Source organism: Homo sapiens, chromosome 14, assembly GCF_000001405.40.
Source record: "Homo sapiens chromosome 14, GRCh38.p14 Primary Assembly".
Classification (NCBI taxonomy): domain Eukaryota; kingdom Metazoa; phylum Chordata; class Mammalia; order Primates; family Hominidae; genus Homo; species Homo sapiens.
Window position 1 is genome coordinate 103964776 of NC_000014.9, and position 16804 is coordinate 103981579.

General features: G+C 43.8%; 1 protein-coding gene across 12 annotated transcripts in view; it reads left to right on the plus strand.

Moving 5' to 3' along the window:
- Nucleotides 1–16804, plus strand: part of TDRD9 (tudor domain containing 9) — a 124212-nt gene that overhangs the window by 36320 nt on the left and 71088 nt on the right. For 8 of the 12 annotated variants that reach the window (XM_006720019.4, NM_153046.3, XM_005267309.5 and 5 more), the window contains exons 4-7: nucleotides 558–779; nucleotides 1934–2056; nucleotides 5766–5846; nucleotides 10614–10778. In XM_006720019.4, the coding sequence (XP_006720082.1) occupies nucleotides 558–779; nucleotides 1934–2056; nucleotides 5766–5846; nucleotides 10614–10778 (591 nt within the window). Of the gene's footprint in view, nucleotides 1–557; nucleotides 780–1933; nucleotides 2057–5765; nucleotides 5847–10613; nucleotides 10779–16804 lie in introns of those variants that run through there. The other 4 variants (XM_006720020.4, XM_047430909.1, XM_047430912.1 and 1 more) reach the window with 2 other exon arrangements.

The window sequence follows — 16804 nt, forward strand, 5'->3', positions numbered from 1 at the left end:
GCCTCCCAGAGTGCTGGGATTGCAGATGTGAGCCACCTGTGCCCAGCCACTAATTACTGTTAAATAGGTAGTAGAGTTGCATTTAAGTGTGGCAACCGTTTGTCGCCTCCTTGCTCTCTTGTGTTGTGTTTAGAATGGTTAATTAATAACTTTAAGCAATTTGGGAAATTGCTGGTAATCCCAGCAATTTGGGAGGCTGAGGCAGGCGGATCACTTGATGTCAGGAGTTCAAGACCAGCCTGGCCAACACGGTGAAAGAAACCCTGTCTCTACCAGAAATACAAAAATTAGCTGGGTGTGGTGGTACACGCCTGTAGTCCCAGCTACTTGAGAGGCTGAGGCATGAGAATCGTTTGAACTCAGGAGACAGAGGTTGCAGTGAGCCGAGATTGCGCCCCTGCACTCCAGGCTGGGCAACAGAGCGAGACTCCATCTCAAACAAAACAAAACAAAACTTTAAGATGAAAGAAAAATAAATCCTGAAAGACTTCTTAATATAGGTGATACTTTACATTGCCATTTTGTGCTGATTTTGAAAGAATTTTTTAAATTTCTAGGTTGTGTCTTTGATAGAAAGTAATTCCGTGGTGATTATCCATGGGGCCACGGGAAGCGGTAAAAGCACTCAGCTCCCGCAGTATATCTTGGACCACTACGTTCAGCGCTCCGCCTACTGCAGCATTGTGGTCACCCAGCCCCGGAAGATAGGGGCAAGCAGCATCGCCAGGTGGATCAGTAAAGAGCGTGCCTGGACCCTGGGAGGTGTGGTGGGCTACCAGGTGAGACTGGGAGGGAGGGAGGGACTAAGAGAGCCAGCTGTCTCTCTATTCCTTAATTTTATTAAGTTTTTTTCTGTGTAAGTTGATAGTATGTGACCATTTTCTGCTGAAAATTAGTTGTGTCTCATGCCTGTAATCCCAGCACTTTGGGAGACCGAGGCAGGCGGATCACATTAGGTCGGGAGTTTGAGAGCAGCCTGGCCAACATGGTGAAACTCCGTCTCTACTAAAAATACAAAAATTAGCCGGATGTGGTGGTGCATGCCTGTAGTCCCAGCTACTCGGGAGGCTGTGGCAGGAGAATTGCTTGAACCCGGGAGGCAGAGGTTGCAGTGAGCCAAGCTTGCGCCACTGCACTCCAGCATGGGCAACAGAGTGAGACTCTGTCTCAAAACAAAAAACAAACAAACAAACAAAAAAAGAAACCAGCTGCTTATAGAAGAGAACTGTGGCATAATTTTAAAAAGCAGTGAAACAGAATTTCTTGAAAATAAGGCTGGGCATGGCGGCTCACGCCTGTAATCCCAGCACTTTGGGAGGCTGAGGCGGGCAGATCACTTGAGGTCAGAAGTTTGAGACCAGCCTGGCCAACATGGTGAAACCCCCTCTCTACTAAAAATACAAAAATTAGCCAGGCATGATGGCACATGCCTGTGATTCCAGCTACTCAGGAGGCTGGGGTATGAGAATTGCTTGAACCCGGGAGGCAGAGGTTGCAGTGAGCTGAGATCATGCCACTGCACTCCAACTTGGGTGACAAAGTGAGACTCTGTTTCGAAAAGAAAAAAAGAATTTCTTGAAAATAAATTGTAATTTCTTTCCAGTTGAATAGGAAAGCAGTAAGAATTCTCATGCTTATGGCTTTTATAATTTTATCTTTTTAATTATATCTGTAATCTAGAAGATGTCTTGATACACAATTGTTTTAACATAAAAATGTTATAGCAGTGTGATTAGATGAGCCAACCCCTGCCGCCCTCCCCCCAAAAAAGAAGAAAATAATTGACTTGAGAATGTCACTTTTAATTTGGAGCCTGTGTATCTTTCGAAATACCTTAATTTTTCATTCCCTTTCTTACCCCCATTATATTAATAAAATGGACATAACTTTTTTTTTCTCTTTTTTCCTTTCCTTTTTCCTTCTCCAATTTTAGGTAGGGCTAGAGAAAATAGCAACAGAGGACACCAGGCTAATTTATATGACAACTGGAGTCCTGCTTCAGAAAATAGTTAGTGCCAAGAGTTTGATGGAATTCACACATATCATCATTGATGAAGTAAGTGATGTCATCTACTTGTAAAGGTCATATTTATCTCTCTTAAAAAAACTCTCAGAGTATTGTGAACCCTGTCTTTGTGCCTGTCTCAGCTTTCTTTATTTTTTCCTTCCCCTTTACTTTCTGGACTTTTCTCAGTAAGGATGGAATGTTTTTTGATTTTGTTTATATTTTAAACATGAGTTTTTTGGTGGGGAATGTTGTGTTTGAATAACTTTCCCAAGAACTTTGGTACTGGTTCTTAAACTCTTGTGTTTTAAACCTTATCAGTAATTCTGTTTGGGAAGCTTGACTTATTTCTAGAGGAATTAGACACATCAGCAAATAAATAGGATTTGTGAGAGGTTGTGAGACAAGGGTAGGGTGTTTAATAGAGTCTGAAATCAAACCATTTGGGCAACGGGCTCATGCCTGTAATCCCGATACTCTGGGAGGCCAAGGTGGGTGGATCACTTGAGGTCAGGAGTTCGAGACCAACCTGGCCAACATGGTGAAACCCATCTCTACTAAAAATACAAAAAAAAAAAAAAAAAAAAAAAAAAGATTAGCTGGGTGCGGTGGCACACACCTATAGTCCCAGCTACTTGAGAGGCTGAGGTGGGAGAATAACTTGAACCTGGGAGATGGAGGTTGCAGTGAGCTGAGTTTGTGCCACTGCCCTTCAGCCTGGGCAACAGAGTGAGACTGCGTTGGAAAACAACAATAACAACCAAAAGGATAAACCCATTTGGGCAACTGTTTAGGGTAGTGTCTCTGCACTCTATTTTGATGCATGGGATAACGAATAATACAACATATACTCCAGGCAAAGCTGAGTCAGTGCGTTTGTGATCTTATGTACAGGCACTTGGTTTTAAATTATTGTAGGGCATTTGGTGGGAGAGTAGGAGAGGGTGAAAATGATCTACTGTTTCTTACAAAATAGGGTGATATATAATACGGTTCAGAATTTTTCTTTATGACTTATGGTAGTTTTGAATATCTTTATAGTAGGTAGAGACAAATTCAGATTTAATAGATAATATGCCAAAAGATGGCATTATGAAGGTTGTAATAGTTATTCATTGGGCTTTTTAGTATAATTGAGCCCACTTTACATAAAAGGAAACTAAAGTTTAAGGAAGTTCAGTGCTCAGGCCACAAGTAATTAGTGATGTTGCTGGGTTCATCCCTGGGTAGTTTACTCTAGAGGCTGTGGTGCTGGTGCCTACATTTATTTTCTGTGTGTCTGACATATTTCTCTGCCTACGTGGCCTTTGCACACCCATACTTGAGTGACACAGATAAATCCATCAATGCTGTGTTACTGACTATATCCTTTTCTCAAGCTCTGCCTTAATAGCTGAGCAAAAGTTAGCTCCTCTCTTCGAGAGCTTGCCCTACTGGGGAGCGGTAACCAACAGAAGACCATCGCGCCATCACGGCAGCTTCCTGCTCTGCCTCTGTCTGGTGCGGTGTCAGCACCTTGTAGATGCCCCAGGGATTATTTGCTTCATAAATGAATGGACTGGATTCAACTACCTGAAGTTTTAGGTTTACATATAGTATCGTTTGCATTATCTGGGATTATTTGAATTTCAAAACAAATACAAGAACAAAAGTTGAAGATAGCCAGCCAGTTTAAAATGGAATAATGTTTTAAACTTTCCAGCTCTTAAGGATAAAGTAGCTTGGGCCGGGCACGGTGGCTCACACCTGTAATCCCAGCACTTTGGGAGGCCGAGGTGGGCGGATCACGAGGATTTGTGAGATCAGGAGATCGAGACCATCCTGGCTAACATGGTGAAACCCCATCTCTACTAAAAATACAAAAAATTAGCCGGGCGTGGTGGCGGGCGCCTGTAGTCCCAGCTACTCAGGAGGCTGAGGCAGGAGAATGGCGTGAACCCGGGAGGCAGAGGTTGCAGTGAGCTGAGATTGCGCCACTGCACTCCAGCCTGGGCGACAGAGTGAGACTCTGTCTCAAAAAAAAAGAATAAAGTAGCTTGGCCGGGTGCGGTGGCTCACGCCTATAATCTCAGCACTTTGGGAGGCCGAGGTGGGCGGATCACCAGGTCAGGAGATTGAGACCATCTTGGCTAACACGATGAAACCCCGTCTCTACTAAAAATACAAAAAATTAGCCGGGCATGGTGGCGGGCACCTGTAGTCCCAGCTACTCGGGAGGCTGAGGCCGGAGAATGGCGTGAACCCGGGAGGCGGAGCTTGCAGTGAGCGGAGATCGCGTCACTGCACTCCAGCCTGGGCTACAGAATAAGACTCTGTGTAAAAAAAAAAAAGCAAAAAAAAAACCCCCCAAAAAAAACTAGCTTTAAGCAAATCATTCATTCAATAAACTTTTTTTTTTTTTTTGAGTACTGCTATGGAAAAGGTGCCTCCTAAGGGGCTGAGGTTATAAAGATGAGTACTAGGGAGACCCATCTGCTGATGTGTGTATGTTTATGTGTTAGAAAGGCTGGTGTAGGGATCCTGGAGCCAGTGGGTTGCGGGGCAGAGGGAAGATGATGGGTGTGTGAACTCAGAAGAGACTGCCACAAGCTGAGGAGAGCTCACTTTGGGGCTTTTTGCTGATGATAGCCTTGATTTTTCTTCTCAAGTAAAAGAGAGGATGTTTGTGCTGAGGAAATGTTCTGAAGTCAAGTGACAGCATGAGATTTATGATGATGTTAAATACCTTTTAGCTACTGATTTTTGTTTTTCTTTTCTCTATGCTACTTCTCTAGACATCTCCTTCAGTGGGAAGTTCAGAAGATAGTAGGGCCTGGAATAGAATTACTTACAGAATAAATCCTTACACCTCTTACACTGAGGAAAGGAGAACTCCCTCTTTGAAACTTAGTAATTATCTCTCCACTTCGGCTGAGAAATGTCCCAGAATAGAATCTTACCGTCCCCTTGTACATTGATGTTTCCTAAGTTCTAGAGTAACTGGCTTCTTTAGAACAGTAGCAGGCTGCCTAGCCCTTGGGTGCTAGCTGGTTCTGGGGTGGGGCGGGGTGGGGGGGCTGTGGGTCCTGGGGTGGCTCTGACTGTGAGGTCTCTGTCTGAGGAGGGCTGCAAGGTCTGTCTGAGGTGCTGCCTCCCTGACTGCTGTCCCCGAGTGTCAGTGCTACTGACCTCGGGTCCTAACCTTGCTCTGGTTTACCTGTTTGTGACTGACCCAGCTTTTCCAGGACCAGCCCTTGCCCACCCTTGTGAGCTGCAGTTATGCACATCATGGAATGTGTCCTGTAGGGGTCACATGGCTCCCGGTCAGTGTTAGACTGGCACATCTTCTTCCCTGTGCTTGCTTGCTCAGATGACAGTGTACCTGCAGGCCTGGCAGGGGTTGTGGCAAGGAGGGGCCATGGGAGGCTGGCCCAGTGGTTCTCTGTGCTTGAGGTAGGTGGAGAGGTTTCTGGTTGTCACAGTGACCTTGGGCACAGTTGGCAGTAAATGAGCAGGGGCGAGGGTGCAGAACATTACTCTGCCGTCTCTCAGGGGGCCCTAAGGAGAAACACTGGGGGCCGTGACTGAGTGGGTGGTCTGTGGTCTGTTGGCCGATGCTCTTTGCTTCCTCTTAACCAGGAGTGATACTAGCCCCCTGAGGAACTGCATTTAGCAGAGAGAACTGGTTTAGTCCCCAGTCCCCCAGTGGTGCCTTTCTGTCAGCAGTGTCATGTGTGTTGCCTGATGCCATGTGGGGGGTGCCCCCTTTTTTATTTTGTAGGTACACGAACGAACAGAAGAAATGGATTTCCTGCTATTGGTAGTCCGCAAACTCTTAAGAACAAATTCACGTTTTGTGAAGGTAAATTTGATTTCATGAGTAACAGACATATTTAGGATTAAGATTCATTGTTTAGTTTTGTTTCTCTCTATAGTCTGTTGGTGTCTATAGAGCATTCTGGGACCCCGGACAGATACTAAAATCTGAGGATCCTCAAGTGCCTTATATGAAATGGCATAGTAAAGTATTTGCATGTAGCCTATGCACATCTTCCCATATGCTCTAAGTCACCTCTAGGTTATCTACAATACTGAATATAATGTAAATGCCATGTAAATAGTTGCTATACTCTATTTTTTAAATTTGTATTTTTATTTTTTCTGAATATTTTTGATTTTCAGTTGGTTGAATCTGCAAATGCAGAATCTGGATACAGAGGGCTGACTGTATTTTTTTTTTTTGAGACGGAGTCTAGCTCTGTCGCCCAGGCTGGAGTGCAGTGGCGTGATCTCGGCTCACTGCAAGCTCCGCCTCCTGGGTTCATGCCATTCTCCTGCCTCAGCCTCCCAAGTAGCTGGGACTACAGGCACCCACCACCAAGCCCAGCTAATTTTTTGTATTTTTAGTAGAGGCGGGGTTTCATCGTGTTAGCCAGGATGGTCTTGATCTCCTGACCTCGTGATCCGCCCGCCTTGGCCTCCCAAATTGCTGGGATTACAGGTGTGAGCCACCGCGCCTGGCCCAGGGCTGTTTGTTTGTTTGTTTACTTATTTATTTATTTTGAGATGGAGTCTCACTCTGTTGCCCAGGGTGGAGTGCAGTGGTGCGATCTCAGCTCACTGCCACCTCCGCCTCCCAGGTTCAAGCAATTCTCATGCCTCAGCCTCTTGAGTAGCTGGGACTACAGGCACCCACCACCATGCCAGGCTAATTTTTTTTTTGTAGTTTTTGGTATAGATGGGGTTTTGCACCAGGCTGGTCTTGAACTCCTGACCTCAACTGATTTGCTTGCTTTGGTCTTCCAAAGGGCTGTGATTACAGATGTGAGCCACTGCACTTGGCCGGGCTGACTGTATTTTAACAGAAACATTTGAAACTGATGACGCTTAAAATTCATGATCATGTGTAGTACACCAGATCTTGCCAGGAAGCCAACTAAGGGGCATTCTTTTATGAACAGAGTACGGATACTTTTTGGTTATTATGTTGCCTTAAACTCTCATATTTTCTCCAGGCTGCAGAAAATGGTCTAGTTGACTATAATGACATGCTGGGTTTTGAGCTTTGCTTTTGGTTGAATAAGTACCACAGTTTAAAGGTATGTGAATGAAGCTGGGTGGTACAGTGGCTCACGCCTGTAATCCCAGCAGTTTGGGGGGCAAAGGTGGGCAGATTGCTTGAGCCCAAGGAGATCAAGACCAGCCTGGGCAACATGGTGAAACCCCATCTCTACAAAAAATACAAAAACTAGCTGGACATAGTGGTGTGTGTCTGTGGTCCCAGCTACTTGGGAGGCTGACGGAGGATTGCTTGAGCCTGGGAGGTCCAGGCTGCAGTGAACTGTGATTGCGCCACTGCACTCCAGCCTGGGTAACAGATGAGACCCTGTCTCAAGAATTAGCCGGGCGTGGTGGCGGGCGCCTGTAATCCCAGCTACTTGGGAGGCTGAGGCAGGAGAATTGCTTGAAGCCGGGAAGCGGAGGTTGCAGTGAGCCGAGATTGTGCCACTGCACTCCAGCCTGGGCAACAGAGAGAGACTGCATTTAAAAAAAAAAACAAAAACAAAACAAAAAGTAAGTGAATGAATCTGCAGTCCCTGTGTTCGAAATAGCACCAAAGTGCATTGAAATTTGAGAACAGAGTATGTACTAGTATTTGAGAGACGTAAGTAGAGTTAACTGAAAGTTGATGGGAATGATAAATATCATTTACTTCTTATTTGAACAAAAAGGAAGAAGGTGTGAACTAGGCCAAAATGGCGAAGGGTTTAGAATAATTGTGCAGTCTAAATAAGTCTACTCATAGGTCGACCTTAACCCAGCTGTGCTAAGCAGAGGTCTGTGGGAAACAGCTTGATAAAAGGCCGCATGGTTGGGTTATTCAGTTATTCTATGATGGGGCTGCTTTGGAAAGCAGTTGCTTTCTAAACCATAAAGCATTTTGTCTTCAAGTGTTTATTTGTTGAGGAAAACATTTCTCTTTCTCTTTCCCATGTCCCCAGGTGGGGAAGCTTCTGCCTTAGGATGTTCATATTTTCACTGGGTGGGTGCTGAATGAATGGAACTCGACACTTGCAATCAGTTGTCTTATTGCTTGAGGTGACTATGAAATGAATGAGAGAATTTGGCTATTTCAGTCCTTTTTGGAATCTTAACCAAGCTGCCATTGAAGATTATTCACATTGAGACCTTTCTTGAATGTCATTTAAGACTCTTCTTTTTTACTCAAGTCAGAATAATGAGTTGGTTACACATTTTTTAGTTTTCAATGGTAAAAAGAGTTAGACAAGTGTTAGTGGATTAACAAAACCCTACACTGATGGACATGTTGGTAAGGAATTTGGTACTTATAAGTTGTAAGATATGGTTGGTCAGTTTCACTGTGTTCATGATTTATTAACAAATACGTGAAGCAGCATATTTTCTCGATATAGAAACTTATATGGTACATGTAGTTGGGCCAAGAAATTAGACACCATATTCTAGGTGGTTTTGTAAGAGGTTTTTAAAAAACTCTCAAAAAATCTGTATCAGCTTTTAAAGAGAGTGCCGCTGTCAAGAGGACCTGGGTGTGGGGCACGGGCACATGGGCTTTAAGGCCTCCCCTTTCCTCTCCCCCCAACCTTTAGGTCCCTGTGGTTCCCCCGACCTGGCTTCCTCTCACTGCCTCCTCTATACCATCCTCCAGCCACTGACCTTGTTGTCACCTCTTGCTGACTGGACTCAGCTCAGGCCCACTCCAGACAGGCAGTTGTCTTGGGTGTCTGCTGACTTGCCTGTTTGGAGAAGAGGCAGAGGGCTGCCGGGGAGGGTGGATGAGGGAGGCTGGTGGCCAGGCTGAGTCCTGCTTGCTCCCTGCATTCCAGGCTTGGCCTCTTGTTTGCAGGCTGCACTCTGTGTCCTGCAGTTCACTGGCCTCGTCGTTCCTTAAAACCCAGTTTAGAGATCATTTATGGTGACTGGGGTGTGTCCCTTAGGAGCCTCTCTTCCACTCCAAGTGGCTTCTGAGAGCATTCTTTTTAACTTCAGACATCTCAAAATGAGTTTTAGTCTGTACAGTTTTTACCATTTGTATCTCATTCCAAAGGGGAAAATACAGATGTTTTCTTTACTCAATAACTGCAACAACAATGCTTATATGAAATGTTTACTTTTTGGCTGGGTGTGGTGGCTCATGCCTGTAATCCCAGCACTTTGGGAGGCCGAGGTGGGCAGATCGCCTGAGCTCACAAGTGTGAGACTGGCCTGGGCAACATGGCGAAACCCTGCCTCTACAAAAAACAGTCACAAAAATTAGCCAGGTGTGGTGGTGCACACATGTAGTCCTACCTACCTCAGAGGCTGAGGTGAGAGGATCACTGAAGCCCAGGAGGCTGAGGTTGCAGTGAGCTGACATCACACCACTGCACTCCAGCCTGGGTGGTAGAGCCAGAACTTGTCTCAAAAATAAAAAAGTTTACTTTTTGGCTAGGATTTCCTCTTAGATACCTCTACTTGCGATGTACAGTAGGTGGTGAGCAGCCAGCCGGACTGCTGTGCCCACTCCCCACGTAGCATTATGGAGACTGCTGAGCTGGGAGACCCTCCATAATCAGCCACTTTCTCCTGGCACGTCTCGGGCTGTATGCACTGCTCCTGTCATTCATGGCTGAGTTTCTTAAGGATATCATTTCATATTTGCTTTTTGACAAAACTGGAAGCTGCAGTCAGTCATCTTGCCCCAGTCTGGGGTTGTTCCTCTGCTCCTGCACCACTGTCGTCCTGGGACTTCTCCAGTTTCTTGAGTTGGAGCTAGAGTTTTCTAGATCCCGTTTTCTTTGCTGGCTTACTCTGTCATTTCTCTGGAACACATCATAGAGTAACTTATTCTTTTTAATTTATTTTTTATTTTTGTTTTTAGAAACAGGATCTTGCTCTGTTGCCCAGGCTAGAGTGCAGTGGTGTGATCATAGATCACTGCAGCCTCGACCTCCTTGGCTCCAGTGATCCTCCCACCTCAGCCTCTTGAGTAGCTGGGACTACAAGAGGGCACCATCATGCCCAGCTATTTTTAAATTTTTTGTAATGATGGGGTCTTGCTATGTTGCCCAGGCTGGTTTTAAACTCTTGGCCCAAGATTACAGGCATGAGCCACGGCACCTGGCCTTACTCTTTTTTTAAAATTTATTTTTAATTAATTAATTTATTTTTTTGTAGAGACAGTGGTCTCATGTTGTTGCTCAGGCTGGTCTTGTACTCCTGGGCTCAAGTGGTCCTCCTGCCTCAGCCTCCCAAAGTGCTGGGATTATAGGTGTGAGCCACAGTATCTTTGTTTACCTGGGCCTTATTCTTTTTTAAAATTAGTCTCCTGATGCAAAGTTTTCTTTCAGAAAAATGGTTTTAATTTACCCTTATTGGAGATGAAATTTATCATTTGAAAAGGTACTCGAAGAGAAATAGTAAAAGTTGGTATCTCTGAACATTGTTTAAACTACAATAATTACACTAGAGATTAAATCAGGGTGGTCTGTTTAAAGTCTCAAAAGTTGTTAGATAAGGAGTGAAGCAGAAGAAAAGCCTGCAGTTTTAGAAGTATTTAATTTGTGATGATTCTCATTGTTTTATTTGAATGTTTTCTCTTACTCTGTAGGTGGTCCTGATGTCGGCTACCATCAGCTGTAAAGAGTTTGCAGACTACTTTGCTGTTCCTGTTCAAAACAAGATGAATCCTGCATATATTTTTGAAGTGGAAGGCAAGCCCCATTCAGTTGAAGAGTATTATCTTAATGATTTGGAGCACATTCATCATAGCAAGGTATGTTAGAATGTGCTGTTTCTTTTATAGTGAGCGTACTCTTGTATTGGATCAAACCTGCATTCATCACCTATGATTGTAAGGCCCTGCGAGAAAATTATTATTTTAAAATTGATGCATACTAAGTGTACATATTTATGGAGTATAGTGTGGTATTTTGATACATAGGTATAATGTGTCATGATCAAGTCAAGGTAATTAGCAAATCCATCATCTCCAACATTTATCATTGTTAATTATCTTTAACATTTATCTTTGTGGTGGGAACATTTAAAATCCTCTCTTCTAGCTATTTGAAAATAAACGATAAGTTTTTGTCAACTGTAGTCACCCCACGGTGCTCTAGAACACGAAAACTGGGCGTAGTGGTGGGGGTCTGTAGTTCCAGCCATAGTGGGACCCTCATCTCTCTTTAAAAAGGACACTAGAAGTTATTTCTTATCTAGCTATAATTTTCTGTCCATTAACCAACCTCTTCCTATTTCCCCCCCTTCCCAGCCTCTAGTAACTTCTTTTCTACTTTCTCCTTCCGTGAGATCAGCCTTCTTAGCGTCCAAATTTGAATGAGAATGTGTGGTATTTATCTTTCTGTGCCTGACTTATTTCACTAACTTCACTCAGCCATGTTGCCCAGAATGATAGGATTTTATTCTTTTTTCATGGCTGAGTAGTATTTAATTGTGTGTATATACTATATTTTCTTTATCCATTCATCTCTTTTTTTTCTTTTTTTTTTTCGAGACAGAGTCTTGCTCTGTTGCCTAGGCTGGAGTGCAGTGGCGCGATCTCAGCTCACTGCAAGCTCTGCCTTCCAGGTTCACACCATTCTCCTGCCTCAGCCTCCCAAATAGCTAGGACTACAGGCGTCCGCCACCATGCCTGGCTAATTTTTTGTATTTTTAGTAGAGACGGGGTTTCACTGTGGTCTCAATCCCCTGACCTCATGATCCGCCCGCCTCAGCCTCCCAAAGTGCTGGGATTACAGGCATGAGCCACCGCGCCTGGCCTATCCATTCATCTCTTAATGTACACCTAGGTTGATTCCATATCTTGGCTATGGTGAATAATGCTGCAGTAAACGTGAGAGTGGAGCTATCTCTTCAGCATATTGTTTTTCTTTCCTTTGGAAATATACCCAGTAGTAGGATGGCTAGGCCATATGGTAGTTCTGTTTTTAGTTTTTTTGAGGATCCTCCATACTGTTTTCCATAAACGCTATACTAATTGACATTCCTACCAACAGTATACAAGAGTTCCCCTTTCTTTGCATTTTTGCCAGCATTTGTCATATTTTGTCTTTTATTTTTACTTATTTATTTTAGAGATAGGGTTTTGCTCTGTCACCCAGGCTGGAGTGCAGTGGCACTATCATAGTTCACTGAAACCTTGAAGTCCTGGGCTCAAGCGGTCCTCCTGCCTCAGCCTCCCAAAGTGCTGGGATTACATGTGTGAATCACTGCACCCAGCCTTTATTTGTCTTTTGATAATAGCTATTCTGGCACATGTGAGATAATATCTCAATATGGTTTGGATTTGCATTTCCGTGACAATTGGTGATACTGAGCATTTTTTCCTGTATTAGCCAGTAGTATGCCTTCTGTTTAGAAAAGTCTTTTCAGCTCACTTATTTGCCCATTAAAAAAATTGGATTGTTTGGGCCTGGCGCGGTGGCTTATGTCTGTAATCCCAGCACTTTGGGAGGCCGAGGCCGGTGGATCACCAGGTCAGGAGATCGAGACCATCCTGGCTAACACGGTGAAACCCCGTCTCTACTAAAAATAACCAAAAAATTAGCCGGGCGTGGCGGCAGGTGCCTGTAGTCCCAGCTACTCGGGAAGCTGAGGCAGGAGAATGGCATGAACCCGGGAGGCGGAGCTTGCAGTGAGCCAAGATTGCACCACTGCACTCCAGCCTGGGTGACAGAGAGAGACTCCATCTCAAAAAAAAAAAAAAAAAAAAAAAAAAAAAAATTGGATTGTTTTTTGCTGTTGAGCTCCTTGTATATTCTGGGTATTAATCCCTTGTCAGATGAATAGTTTGCAAATGTTTCCCCCCATTCACTCAGTTGATTTCTTTCTTTTTTTTTTTTTTTTTGCTATGCAGAAGCTTGTTAGTTTGATATAATCCTATTTGTCTACTTTTGCTTTTGCTGTCTGTGCTTTTGAGGTCTTAGCCATCAAATCTTTGTACAAATATATGTCCTGAAGCATTTTCCCTATGTTTTCTGCTAATAGCTTCATAGTTTCAGGATTTAGTTTAAGTCTTAAATCCATTTTGAGTTGATTTTTGTGTATATTGAGAGAGAGGGGTTTAGTTTTATTTTTCTGCATCTGGATATCCAGTGTTCCCAGCACCATTTATTGAAGAGACTGTTCTTTCTCCAGTGAATGTTCTTGATGCCTTTCTTAAAAATCAGTTGGCTGTAAATATGTTATTTTATTTCTGGGTTCTTTATTCTGTTCCATTGATCATCTGTGTGTCTGTTTTTATGCCAATATCATGCTGTTTTGGTTACCATTGCTTTGTAGTATATTTTGAAGTTAGGTAATGTGATGCCTCTTGCTTTGTTCACTTTGCCCAGGATTGCTTTGGCTTGTGAGATCTTTTTTGGTTCCATATGAATTTTAGGATTTTTTTTTTGATTTCTGTGAAGAATGTCATTGGTATTTTGATTGAAATTGTATGAATCTGTACATCACTTTGGGTAGTATAGTCATTTTAATAGTATAAATTCTTCCAATTCATGGCAAGGCACAGTGGCTCACACCTGTAATCTCAGCACTTTGGGAGGCCAAGGTGGGCCGATCACTTGAGCCCAGGAGTTTGAGAAAGAAAGCATAGGGAAAATGCTTCAGGACATCTATTTGTAGTTAACATTTACTTAGTAACACTTAAAAAAACCTACTAACTAAACTTCACTTTATTTGGTTTGACTGTATTTTCCATAATGTCCTTTATTCTGGGATCCCGTCCGGGATGCTACATTAGGTTTGGTCGCGATGTTTCCTTAGGCTCCTCTTGGCTGTGGTAGTTTCTCAGACTTTCCTCATTTTTTAAGACTTTGACGATTTGAAGAGTACTGGTCTTTGACTGATGTTTTTCTCATGGTTAAACTGAGGTTATTGGTTTTGGGGAGGAAGACCACAGGCTGAGGTGCCATTTTTGTCACATATCAAGGGTATACACTATCAACATGACCTTTACTGGTTGTCTTAAGTCTGTTTAATGTTTTTTTTAATTAAAAAATTTAAATTCACACATAATAATTCATGGGGTACATAGTGATGTGATACATACAATGCATGGTGATGAGCTCAGTGTAACTAGCATATCTATTGTATCAAACATTTTTTTGTGTGTGTGTTGGGAACATTCAGTAGCCTCCTATAGCTATTTGAAATTACATATTGTTGTTATCTGTAGAACACTGGAGCTTCCTCCTCCTATCTGGCTGTCCTTTTGTATCCTTTAACAAATCTCCCTATTGCCTCCTCCTTTCCCCTACCCTTCCCAGCCTCTAGTATCTTCTGCTCTACTCTTTACTTCTATTAAACTGTTTTTTAGCTTCCACATGAGAACATGTGGTATTTAACTTTCTGTTCCTGGCTTATTTCACTTAACATAATGTCCTCCAGTTTCATCCATGTTGTTGCAAATGACAGGATTTCACAGTTTTTATGGCTGAATAATACTCCATTGTGTATATATTCTCCATTTTCTTTCTCCATCTGTTGTACACCTAGGTTGATTCCATATCTTGGCTATTGTGAATAGCATTTAACACTGTTATGAAGGAATACCTCAGTCTGGGTAATTTATAAAAGAAAGAGGTTTATTTGGCTCACAGTTCTGCAGGCTATACAAGAACCATGGCACTGGCCTCTGCTCAGGGAGCTGGTGTGTGCAGAGATCACATGGTGAGACTGGAAGAAGGTGGGTGTGCCAGGCTTTTTGTAACAGTCACCTCTCAGGGGGAACTCTGGTAGGAACCAATAACAGTGAGAACTCAGTCTCCCCAAGGGAGGGCATTAATCTATTCATGAGGCATCCGCCCCCATGTCCCACACACCTGCTATTAGGCCCCACCTCCAACACTGGAATCAAATGTCAACATGAGATTTGGAGGGGACAAACTATAGCACTGATGACACAGACTTTGATCACTGGAAAGGTTGTGTTTGCCAGGTTTCTCCATTATGCATTACTGCCTCCTTTCCACATTGTACTCTTGAGAAACAAGTTGCCAGGTGAGGCTCTATTCAAGGTAGGGAGGAGGTAGCACTTACATTTACAACATTTAAACAATTTGCATTTTCTGACTCTTTTTTTTTTTTTTCTTTGAGATTGGGTCTTGCTCTGTTACCTAGGCCGGAGTGCATTGGTGCGATCATAGCTCACTGTAACCTTGAACTCCTTGGCTCAAGAGATTCTCCCATCTCAGCCTTCCAAGAAGCTATGACTACAGATGCATACCACCATGCTTGGCTAATTAAAAAAAATTTTTTTGTGGAGATAGGGTCTTGCTATGTTGTCCAGGCTGATCTTGAACTCCTGTCTGTAGGGACCAGCCCCACAGGGTCGGTGGGTTTTTCTCCCCGTGTGCAGAGATGAGAGATTGTAGAAATAAAGACACAAGACAAAGAGATAAAAGAAAAGACAGCTGGGCCTGGGGGACCACTACCACCAAGACGCAGAGACCAGTAGTGGCCCCGAATGCCAGGCTGCGCTGATATTTATTGGATACAAGACAAAGGGGCAGGGTAAGGAGTGTGAGCCATCTCCAATGATAGGTAAGGTCATGTGGGTCACGTGTCGACTGGACAGGGGGCCCTTCCCTGCCTGGCAGCCAAGGCAGAGAGAGAGAGGAGAGAGAGAGGGAGAGACAGCTTATGCTATTATTTCTGCTTATCAGAGACTTTTAGTACTTTCACTAACTTGCCACTGCTATCTAAAAGGCAGAGCCAGGTGTACAGGATGGAACATGAAAGCAGACTAGGAGTGTGACCACTGAAGCACAGCATCACAGGGAGACGGTTAGGCCTCCGGATAACTGCGGGCGGGCCTAACTGATGTCAAGCCCTCCACAAGAGGTGGAGGAGCAGAGTCTTCTCTAAACTACCCCAGGGAAAGGGAGACTCCCTTTCCCGGTCTGCTGAGTAGCGGGTGTTTTTCCTTGACACTGACGCTACCACTAGACCACGGCTAGACCATGGTCCGCTTGGCAACGGGCGTCTTCCCAGATGCTGGCATTACTGCTAGACCAAGGAGCCCTCTGGTGGCCCTGTCCGGGCATAACAGAAGGCTCGCACTCTTGTCTTCTGGTCACTTCTCACTATGTCCCCTCAGCTCCTGTCTCTGTATGGCCTGGTTTTTCCTAGGTTATGATTGTAGAGCGAGAATTATTATAATATTGGAATAAAGAGTAATTACTACAAACTAATGATTAATGATATTCATACATAATCATATCTAAGATCTATATCTAGTATAACTATTCTTATTTTATATATTTTATTATACTGGAACAGCTCGTGCCCTCGGTCTCTTGCCTCGGCACCTGGGTGGCTTGCCGCCCACACCTGTCCTCAAGTGATCCTCTTGCTTTGGTCTCCTAAAGTGCTGGGATTACAGGCATGAGCCATCATGCCTGGCCTCTGACTAGTTTGAAATGTGAGAGTGATGATGGTTTACCAGTCTTCTTTCCAGCTGGCTGAAGTCTAATTAATTCCTATTGATGTTCATTGTGTATTTTCTGTCAGAGCTCACAACACTTAGATGCTTCCTTGTGGACCCGCTGAGGAGCTGGATCAGGCCTTGCCACTTGCTGTCTGAGCCCGTGTGGTCAAGACAACCCAGCTTCTAGGCACCCAGGGCCCCCTTGCCTCATGGGTGGGTTATGTTCAATAGAATAGAGAATGTCCAGCTTTAGCAAGATTTATCCAACGTCTTGTTTTTGGTACCTGATAGGTGCTCAGTAAATATTTCAGTGAATGAATATGCAACACTTAGCTGTATACAGATGTTCC